This window comes from Homo sapiens, chromosome 14 (assembly GCF_000001405.40).
Source record: "Homo sapiens chromosome 14, GRCh38.p14 Primary Assembly".
Lineage (NCBI taxonomy): Eukaryota > Metazoa > Chordata > Mammalia > Primates > Hominidae > Homo > Homo sapiens.
Window position 1 is genome coordinate 18,871,710 of NC_000014.9, and position 11,719 is coordinate 18,883,428.

Below are 11,719 nucleotides of genomic sequence, written 5' to 3' on the forward strand. Positions count from 1 at the left end.
AAAGAAAGAAAAGAAAGCAAGAGAGAAAGAGAGAGACAGAGAAAGAGAAAGAGAAAGGAGGGAAGGAGGAAGGAAGGAAAGAAGGAAGGAAGGAAGGGAGGGAGGGAAAATAAAGCAGAGAAAGAAAGAAACTTTGTAAACTATAACACGTAAAGCACGAGTACAGTTTTCCTGGAAGGTTTGTGATTGACCACATTGCAGCCTGTGCTCCTCATACTTGACCACATGGATGGATAGACCACTTTTGAGTAGCAAAATAGAGAAAATTTAGAACTAGAAATCACATGGTTCAGCCTTGATTTCTGAGGCTTAGCGTTGGTTTCTATATGTACCAACACCGTCAATAAGAAAAACTGCTAGGCACTGTTCCTGGGAGGTTAGTAGTTAATGTCAATAGTATTTGGAGCCATAATACAATCTGGCAAAGAGCGTTGTTCCAGGGCTGAAAATGCTGATGGAATTAGCCAACTGACCTATCCGCATACTCCTCCTTCCCGGAGAAGAAAAATTAGGCATTAGGTCTTTTGAAAGTAAAAAAAACTCAATACTTTTCAAATATTTATTTTGTTCTGGAAACTGATATAAAATATCCAAAATCCACAACTGCTCTTTGAGGTGACCATTATCCCCATTTCAAGTTGAAGATACTATAAAATATTATAAACATGAAGATACTGGCTGGGCACAGTGGCTCACACCTGTAATCCCAGCACTTCAGGAAGCTGAGGCAGGAGGATGGCTTGAGCCCAGGAGTTCAAGAACAGCCTGGGGCAACATGGCCAGACCCAGTCTCTACAAAAAATTAGCCAGGCGTGGTGGCACATGTCTGTGATCTCCGCTACTGGGGAGGCTGAAGTGGGAGGATCACCTGAGCGCAGAGATGTCCAGGCTGCAGTGAGCCGTGATTATGCCACTGCTCTCCAGCATGGGCCACAGAGTGATATCCTGTTTTAAAAAAAAAGGAAAAGAAAAAGACAATAACACACCACCTCATTCATTCATTCTATATAAATACATAAATAAGATACTACATGGTAGAGAATCCCTGCCAAGATCTTCAAAATCAACCCTAAACAGATAGTGGAAGGACAGGAGAGAGACACATGGATTCCTAACACTAAGCAGGGAGATTAGGGAATTTCTCACTACCCTCTCTGAGACTGAAGACTACTGAAATTAGTGTGGGGGTGGAGCCTGGGCATCATGAAGAACTGGTTGGGCAGCCTTTACATTCCGCTCTTGTTCCCTCAAGTTGCCTTCAGAGAGACAGTCATCAGCCTGACTCCTTCAGCATGACAGTTAACAGTGCCCGGAGCACTGTCCACTCATATCAGCAACACAAACTCTGCGGGGGCATGGGAGAGAATTCACAAAAATAGACACAGACAGCCCTCAGGTAGTTCCTTCACCATGCTTCCAACCAAATTGCCAGGACTGTAGATTATCTTATTTCCTCCTAAGGGTTTAAAAGTGAAAACTCCAGCCAAAGGAATGACTAGTGGATTGGCCTCAGACGGGGATTCACTAAGGGGTCTGTGATCCCTGGATTCTCAGTCCTCACATGGCCGGGACCAACACAGATGAGGCTGGCCTTGGCCCCTCCCAGTACATATGACCAAACATTTTCCCAAAGGAAAATGAGCCCACAGCCAAATAACTGGAGGAAAAGTCTACACAAGCAGCATGTATCATCTGATCACATATGTTGAAGCAGAAGGTCCCAAAATCTAATAATGCTCCTTAAATAGGAGACAACAGAAAATGTTAGCAATATGCAGCAAGAACAAGATATCATAAAAAAAACTAAGTGAAAATATTAGGTAGGAAAAATAAAATAGTTAAAACAAAGAATTTGATAAATGGAAATTAATCAAATTTGACAAATGAAATAGAATGGATATAGTTGAAGAAAGAATATATGAACACATGATTGTGGCGGTCTCACAATAAGACTAAAACATAAGAAATAGAGAAGAAAAGCTTGGAAATGTGGATGATAAACATAAAAGTGCGAACACCTGAGCAATAAATTCAGCTGGCGTAAGAAGTAAAAACAGAGTGGAGGAAATACTTGAACAAATAGTGGAGATACATTTCCAAAAAAATGACCTTATTTGAAAGGACTTATAAAGAAGAGCTAAGAAGAGATAAGGAAAAATCAATTCCTAGGTACAACTATAAAATTTAAAAATATTAAGTAAAAAAGTAAATAAATAAAAATAATGAGGAGACTGGGCACAGTGGCTTATGCCTGTAATCCCAACACTTTGCAAGGCCAAAGCGGGAGGATCACTTGAGGCCAGGAGTTCGAGACAAGCCTGAACAACATTTTGAGACCCTATCTATCTTTACAAAATATTAACAAAAAAATTAGCTAGTCATGGTGGCACTTGCCTGTAGTCCTAGCTACTGGGGAGGCTCAGGCAGGAGCATCACTTTAGCCCAGGAGGTCAAGGCTGCAGTGAGCTGTGATCATGCACCGCTGCACTCCAACCTGGGCCATAGAGTGAGACCCTCTCTCAAAATAATAATAATAATAATAATAATAATAATAATAATAATAATGACAAGGAGAAAGCTCTAAAAGCTTCCAGAGAGAGAACAGATCATCTTCAAACTACATAGTAGTTATAAAGTATTAGGAGACAGTAATTTTGAAGGTAGAATTTTATTTATTTATTTATTTATTTATTTATTTATTTATTTATTTATTTATTTTTTGAGACAGAGTCTCGATCTGTTGTCCAGGCTGGAGTGCAGTGATGCAATCTTGGCTCACAGCAACCTCCACCTCCTGGGTTCAAGTGATTCTCATGCCTCAGCCTCCAAGTGGCTGGGATTACAGGCATGCACCACCATGCCTGGTTAACTTTGGTATTTTTAGTAGAGACAGGGTTTTACCATATTGCCCAGGCTGGTCTCGAACCCCTGACCTCAGGTGATCCACCTGCTTCAGCCTCCCAAAGTGCTGGGATTACAGGGTGAGCCACCATGCCCGGCCTCATTTCACCTCTTGAACTTGGGTTTTCTCTTGAGGCAGTTACACTTGATTTATAACGTTCCTCTCAGCTTTAAAATTCCATAAAATTCCAGAAGCACTATCTACTAGTGAAACAATTTACTGGGAGAAGTAGTGAGTCCCCTGTCACTGGAAGCATTCAAGCAGAGTGAGAATAGCCAGTTGTCTGATACGCTGTAGAGAGAATTCCTACATTAGATAGGAGGTTAATATTTGATTTAAATAATTAAGCCAATAATAAAAAATAGCACTGAGTATGTAATACGTGCCCAGCACTGCTCTAAGCATTTACACACATCTCATTTGATCTTTTCGGTAACTGCATGGGGAGTGGGTACTATCCCCATTGTGCAGAGGCTACTCAGATCAGGGGCAGCACTAACCAGAGAGCTCACAGCTAGAGAGAGATGGAGATTGGAAATCAGATTGCTGTGGCCCCCAGCAAGTCCTAATCACCACCCAATTCTGTCAGCAGCCTCCGGGTTCTGGGATGGGCATGTCTTCCCACTGGCCTGGGATCTGGGTGCAAGGTGACGTGCCTGCCTCCTACCCCTCTCCAGGGCAGGAAATTGAGCATGGAATGCAGACGGCAGGCTTGCCAACAAGGCCACTTTCCCACGGCCTGCAGCAGAAAGAGGCTGCTTTCCGCTGCTTGGGCTGCAAATGCTCTGAGCCCTTCACCGGCAGCCTTATTTTACAGAAGGTGAAAGCTAAAACCTAGAAACGGCAAGCTACCTACCCAACGTCACAGAACAAACAAGTGGCACAGCTGGGAAACATCTGCATGGAGTCCTCACTTCCAGGCCAGTGCTTGATGTTCTGTTATTTTTATTTATTTTTTTTTTGCAAGCTCCGCCTCCCGGGTTCTCGCCATTCTCCTGCCTCAGCCTCCTGAGTAGCTGGGACTACAGGCGCCCGCCACCGCGCCCGACTAATTTTTTGTATTTTTAGTAGAGACGGGTCTCGATCTCCTGACCTCGTGATCCACCCGCCTCGGCCTTCTGTTTTGTTTTTAACTAAATCACATTACTGCAGTCGCTTACATGTGACAGTCCCTCAGTTTTCTGTTCTGAATATATCTCTTTTTAATCAAGGCCTATGCATCAACTACAGCAAATTGGAGATTCCCAAGAGTGGCAATTATTCTAAACGAAACTCTGCCTATGATATTCTAAAAATTCTAATCTAACCTCACCCCTGTGTCACACGAAACTCATCTCTTGTTGGTCCTGAATCCACACTTCTGCTCCTTTGAGGCAAGTTTCCCCACTAACATTGACCCCCAATTACATATTAACCTTTGCCCCAGCTGTCACCCAGCAGAATTCCCTCTGCAGTCCTCTCTGCTTATCTGGCCTGCTGGGAACTCACCATCAGACAGCACTGAGAATTCAACAACTGTTTCTTTCTTTTTTTTTTTTTTTTTCTCAAGATCTGCTTTTAGGAGAAGCAATCATTTCAACACTGCATTACAAATGAACTTATACCTCAGTCAGAAACAAGCAACCCCATTCCCCACATAAGCTATTATTATTATTATTTTTTGGACACGGAGTTTCACTCTGTTACCCAGGCTGGAGTGTAGTAGTGCCATCTTGACTCACTACAACCTCCACCTCCCAGGTTCAAGTGATTCTCCTGCTTCAGCCTCCTGAGTAGCTGGGATTGCAGGGGCCTGCCACCATGCCCGGCTAATTTTTGTATTTTTTAGTAGAGACAGGGTTTCACCATGTTGGCCAAGCTGGTCTTGAACTCCTGACCTCAAGTGATCCACCTACCTTGGCTTGCCAAAGTGTCGGGATTACAGGCATGAGCTACCGCACCTGGCCTTTTTATTTTTTTTTTTTAATGGGCAATATGTACTTTCAGATCACATGTTGGTTGGGGATCATCCTCCCAGATGCACATTCACGTTCTGGAGGATGACACAGTTAGAAACAGGTTTTAGAATCCAGTGTGACCTTGGGCAGATCTTTCATCTGTTCTCAGTCACATTTGTAAAACATAGGCAAAGACTGTGGCGACCTCACAAAGAATGTTTGCTGAAAGGAGAAATGAGTGGTTTCTGGGCCAATTCATTCTCACCCTGTCGAAGTGAGACCCCATGTCTCACTTCATCCTCAAGTGTAGTTGAAGATTGTCATCAACATCATCCCCCTGGCCCGCCGCCTGTTGGCATCAAGGTCACCTGCAGTGGGTCTTCCACACTGAGGGACTGTGCTCTTTGCCATTCAGCTGGGGCCCAAAGCTCTGTTCTCCACAAGTCATAGGGGGATATTAATGGAAATATTGGCAAATCTTACAATGTAGAAATATAAAAAAGTTCTGTGTTAAAACTATTGTAAGCAAACTGAGAAAACAATCATGAAACTGGGAGAAATATGTGCAATCATATCACAGGCAGAGATGAACTTCCCTAATACATAAAGAGCTTCCACTATTCAATAGGAAGAAGCCTACCAACACAAAAATAATAAACAGAAGTAAAGGATATAAACATCTAGGTCACAGAAAAGGAAATACAAACAGTTCTGGACATTTTATTTTATTTTTTTTAATTAAAAATTTGCCAGGCACGATGGCTCATGCCTATAATCCCAGCACTTTGGGAGGCCGAGGCAGGCGGATCATGAGGACAAGAGATCGAGACCAACCTGGCCAATATTGTGGACCCTCGTTTCTACTAAAAACACAAAAATTAGGTGGGTATGGTGGCTGGTGCCTATAATCTCAGTTACTCAGGAGGCCGAGGCAGGACAATCGCTGGAGGTTGCAGTGAGCCGAGATTGCACCACTGCACTCCCGCCTGGCGATAAAGTGAGACTCTGTCTAAAACAAAACAAGACAAGACAACAACAACAAACAAAAACTAATGAACAAACAAAAAACAAACAAAAAAATACTGTACTAAGGGAACAATTTTCCACCTATCATGTTGAGGAACATATTTAAGAGTTTTATGGCTGGATGCGGTACCTCATGCCTGTAATCCCAGCACTTTGGGAGGCCAAGGCAGGTGCATCATCTGAGTTTGGGAGTTTGAGACCAGCCTGACCAACATGGAGAAACCCCATTTCTACTAAAAATACAAAATTAGCCGGGCATGGTGGCGCATGCCTCTAATCCCAGCTACTCGGGAGGCTGAGACAGGAGAATCGCTTGAACCTGGGAGGCAGAGGTTGTGGTGAGCTGAGATTGTGCCATTGCACTCCAGCCTGGGCAACAAGAGTGAAACTCCATCTCAAAAAAAAAAAAAGAGTTTTATGACATGCTTGTTAGAGCTGTGTGAGGAAAAAAGCATTTCTATACACTGAGGATGAGAGGATATATTAAAGTCACTTCTTCTGTAAGGCAATTTGGCATTATCAATCAAAATCACAAATGCACAAACCCTTTGACTCAGGAATACAGATATATTCTGATGCATGCCAAAAATGTATGAACAAGATTTTTCATTGCAAAATTGTTTGTCATCTTCTTATACAGTGTATGAATACAAGAACTCTGGAAATGTACACCCATATTATTGTATAATGCAAGCATACATTTTTATTCTGCTTGTATATTTTTTTCTTAAACTTATACATATTTACTGATAAAATAAGCTAGCATTGCTTTTACATCATGTTTAAATATGTAAACGTCAATCTGTGTTTAACAAAATTGATTTATTGCACTGATGAATTTTATTTCAAAAGTTATCTTTTGGCTGGGCGAGGTCGCTCACACCTGTAATCCCAGCACTGTGGGAGGGCGAGGTAGGTGGGTCACCTGAGGTCAAGAGTTTGAGATCACTGTGACCAATATAATGAAATTCCGTCTTTACTAAAAATTTACAAATTTACAAATTTGCCAGATGTGATCGTGTGGGCCTGTAGTCCCAGCTACTCAGGAGGCTGAGACAGGAGAATCGCTTGAACCTGGGAGGCAGAGGTTGCAGTGATCCGAGATTGTGCCACTGCACTCCAAGCCTGGGCAACGGAGTGAAACTCCATCTCAAAATTAAAAAAAAGTTATCTTTCATGGTATGCCCACTTTAGAATAATTTCAAAGATCTTTAGGTAACTCAAAACCTTGTACTCATTTAATTGATGGATATTTGCTGGGTACATAAATAATTTCTAGGAAAAATGAAAGACTAAAACATGCATTATGAAGCACAATTTAAGTGTATAAACTTTTGCTTCTTTATTTTTATTTATTTATTATTTTTATTTTATTTTATTTTTTATACTTTTTTTTTCCTTTTTGTGGAGATCAGGGTCTTGCTATACTGCCCAGGCAGGTCTTGAACTCCTGGGCTGAAGCTATCCTCCCACCTCTGCCTCCCTAAGAGCTGGGATTACAGGCGTGAGCCACTACACACAGCCAAGATTTAATGTTATGACTGAGGTAAACATGAATGAAAGCAAATCTTCAAAATATCTATGATTTGATCTCATGTATATACATTTGTGTCTGAATATACATTAGATAGATGGGGAATGCATAGATGTGGAACAGGCAGAGCCTAGCAAGCCGAGGGGACTGGACCTGAATCTTGGACAGAGGGAATTCGTAACAGAAAAGACTTTCATGTTTTTCTCTGTATAGTTAATTACTTTATGCTCGACCACAACAAGAATGTATTGTATATGTTTTTTGTGTTTTTTTTCCCCTTAATCTTAAATTCAAAATATAAGGTAGCCTCCTGGCTGTGAGCTACAAGAATCCTTATGGGTTTGGCAGTTCTTTGACAACTTCTCACCTGGCTAAATTATCAAGGAATGTCCTACCACCAAGCATGAGAAATTCTTGGCATTCCTGAAATAAATTCTTCTTCTGAGCCAGCTCACGTGGGCATCATAATCTCCTTGAAGGCTTTAAAAAGATTTAGATCTGAGTCTGTCTCAGATTCTCGGGCTCAGAACCAGAATTTCTTCATCTGAGGCTATTATCTTGCTCTGGAGGAGGGAGTGAGAACTGGATCACTGGTTACGGTGGTGACTGGGACAACAGCACAGCCACAGACAGGAACACAGAAGGCAGAGGCAGCCTTGATCTGCAAGGGCTCCAGTTAACCCCAATGGGGACCCTCGATGGACAAAGGCACTCTCCTAGGCTTGGTGATGAAAGTATTCCTCTTACAGCCAGGCAAGGCACTCAGGGCTCTGCAGCAGAGAAGTTAGAGCTGTAGCTTTTTTGCTTGGTGTTTTCACTAAAACTTAATTTCTTGTTGCACTTGTTGGATGGGCATGTCCCATAGGGGAAGTTTCCACTACTGTGTTCTAAACTTTGGACTGCTTGTACCATCTTACTTGTTCCCTCATTAATAATGAACTAAATAAAACCTTTAGTATATGCTAATTTCATATCTTTACGAGAGTCATGACTTTACCTTTTTGTTTTGAAAAGTACCTTTTCACATTGCTATCACTTCCTTACCAGAGCAGTGAGTGTCTGGGTCTCCCTCTTAGGGGCAGACACTGTTCCATGTAATTAGAATTAATTTCTTGTTCTTGGTAGGCAGAGAAAACCTTCCACACTCCCAGGAGACAAGGGTTCAGATCTTGTGCCATGGCTGAGAGTGATGCTGAGGAAGACACTTCTCTCTAGTCTCAGTTCGCCTGCCTGTGAAATGGGCTCATAACAAACTCCTGATCCCAGGCTCAGTCGCCTTGAGCCCATGACCTCACCCAACCCCTCCATCCAACTCAACTCGGGGGGCGGCCCCCTTTCCTCCGAAGGCGCCCGGGTGGCAAGTCGGTGCCTCAGCTCCCGGGGGTTTCTGGGTTCTGCGCTGCCCACGGGGTGCCCAGGGGCCTCTGGAGGGGGCGGGTTCTCTCCAGCCAGAAAGCCCGGAGCCGCCCAGGAATTTTGGCTCGGACTGAGAGCATTGTCTCCAGGGCCTGCCGGGCACGATCCGGGAAGGGCGGCTGCGGGCACATGCCGTGCTGCTTTCAGCCAGGCCGGCACCATGCGGCCCCTGCTCTGCGCGCTGGCCGGGCTGGCCCTGCTCTGCTCCGCGGGCGCTTTGGCCGGTGATTGGGGCGCGGGGCACTGCAGGGGACACGGAGCCGGGGAGATCCCCAGATGGCGAGGAAGGAATGAGCGAGAGAGAGAGCTGGACACAGCAGCGAGATGGAGAGAGAGGCAGATACAGGGAGGGACGGATGGAGAGAGAGATGGTGAGAGGAAACAGACTCAGAAAAAGGCAGAGAAGTAGAGCAACGGAGAGATAAAGGAGAGAGGGAAGAATAAACAGTGAAAAGGAAAAAAGGAGAGGCCGAGACAGAGAGGCTTTCCCTGAACAGATATGAACCAAGATAGAAAGAAAAAAGAGTTTGAGAGACAAAAGAGAAGAAGGAAAGAGAAAGACTGACTAAAATGGCAAGGGGTGGAGGGAGAGAGGATAAGAAAAGAGAAAGATTTGAGAGAGACCAAAAAAGAGAGAGAGAGGGAAGCTCGATGCCTGGAGTAGAGCTGGCAAGAGAGAAGGAGCCAGGATCTGGGGTGGGAGGTCACAGCTGCTGGGTCGGGCAGCCCCGGAGGCCAGCTCCATCTCAGAGGGCTGCGGAGGCTCAGCCCTGGCTTTATAGGACATTGCTTAAGAAGCCAGACTCCAAAGGGTGAGTGACCCAGGCCAGCCCAGCACAGCCTTAAGGAGCCAGGCAGGCGAGTCCAGGAGAAAGGCCACCGACTCACCTGCCACGTGGCCTCAGGTGGTTCTGCAGTTGGTGAAGAAGTCAGCCTCCTGGTTTCCAGGGAGCTTCTCTGGGGAACTGAGCTGTTTGGGGTAGAGACGGGGGACTGGATGGAGATGGAGAGCTGTGCGGGAGGGAGAGGCTGTCTGGGTACTCCATTAGCTGGGTTCCTTGCCTTTCGCTGTCCCCTTTCTTCCCCCCACCTCCCCCCTCAGCTTAATGTTGCCCCTTCACAGGTGAGGCTCAGACGGGGTGACTCATGTCAAGTGACTTACTAGACTGCAGTCTGGGGCGGTACACAGATGCTCATTCCACCACCCTGCACATTGCATAGGACTTTACAGTTTACAAGCCACAACCCCACCTAGCCACGGATGGCTATTGCTCATTCCAGTTGCCCAGGTGAGGGAAAAGCTCAGATCTCATGGTGGTGCCAAGGCAGAGCCCTCACAAAGCATCCAGGCCTCCTGCCCCCCCAGTCGTTGCCACGACCTTGGCAGAAGTGCCCTGTGCTAAGATAGAAGCCCCTAGCGCCTTTCAGGGCCCTCTGAACTGTGGGATTAAGCACTTGGGGAAAGGATCCAGACCAGCCCTCAGGATCCCCTGCCTTGGGTGAGTCCCTTCCCCTCTCTGGTGCTGTTTCTTCCTCTATAAATTGGGGAGAATGATACCCACCCCACAGGGCTGGCCTCAGGGATTAGATGAGAGAGGAAGTGCCCAGCAGGGAACATGCATCAACGCACATTCTCTCAGATGACTCCACTGATCTCTCTGAGCCTCAGTTTACTCACCTGTTAAAGATGACCACCAAAGGCTTCCTCACAAGCTGCATGAGGAGTGGCTGGGACTCTGCCCAGCGTAGAATACAGGCCCCAGTACACACCCTCCCATCCCCCTCTCCTTTACTCCCTCCCAGCTCAGCCCCAGGATCCAGGAGCTAAAGGCACAAAGCAGCACCTGTGTTTCTCCCGGAGGGAGGAGGGAGCATCCTGCCCACAAGTGGCTACTTTTGGTGCCCCTTTTAGCCACAACTTGTACAGAGACTTTAAACCCACTTTTAAACATTATTTTTCTTTCTGATTATGCATGCTCATTGCTACAGAAAAAGAAGAAAAGGAGTTTGGGAGGCCGAGGCGGGCAGATCACGAGGTCAAGAGATCAAGATCAGCCTGGCTAACACGGTGAAACACTGTCTCTACTAAAAATACAAAAAATTAGCTGGGCCTGGTGGCACAAGCCTGTAGTCTCAGCTACTTGGGAGGCTGAGGCAGGAGAATCACTTGAACCTGGGAGGCGGAGCTTGCAGTGAGCCGAGATCAAGCCACCACATTCCAGCCTGGGTGATAAAGCAAGACTCCGTTTAAAAAAAAAAAGAAGAAGAAGAAAAGGAGGAAAGTATTCATGTGTTAGTGTAATTTCACATTGACTTCCTACATTTTTGTGCATATTCTTTCAGATTTTAGAATTAACTTTTGATTATGAAAACTTAACTTTTGATTATGAAAACTATTGGATACAAAAAATACAAAATAATAGTATATGAAAGAATGATATAATGTACTATTAACCCTGCTTCAACAAGTATCAGTTCATGGGCAGTTTTATCTCATCTATAGTCTCCACCCTTTCTCCCCTCCCTGGATTATTTTAAAGGAAATCCAGGCATTGTATATTTTCTTTTTTTTTTTTTTTTGAGACAGGGTCTCATTCTGTCACCCATGCTAGAATGCAGTGGCGCAATCTCAGCTCACTGCAACCTCCGCCTCCTGGGTTCAAGTGATTCTTCTGACTCAGCCTCCCCAGTAGCTGGGACTACAGGCACGTGCCACCACACCTGACTAATTTTGGTATTTTTAGTAGAGACAGGGTTTCACCATGTTGGCCAGGCTGGTCTCGAACTCCTGGGCTCAAGCGATCCACCTCCCTCGGCCTCCTAGTGTGCTGGGATTATAGGTGTGCACCACCATGCCTGGCTAATTTTTGCATTTTTTAGTAGACACAGGGGCAGGGCGGTTTC

General features: G+C 45.0%; 1 annotated feature.

Annotated features, from left to right (window-relative positions):
* Positions 8,939-9,439: an enhancer, noted in NCBI's record as "H3K27ac hESC enhancer chr14:20106558-20107058 (GRCh37/hg19 assembly coordinates)". NCBI's record gives its function as "activates a minimal SCP1, AML or CMV promoter by ChIP-STARR-seq in primed H9 embryonic stem cells {active_cell/tissue: H9 hESC(primed)}" and the evidence as "EXISTENCE:reporter gene assay evidence [ECO:0000049][PMID:30033119]".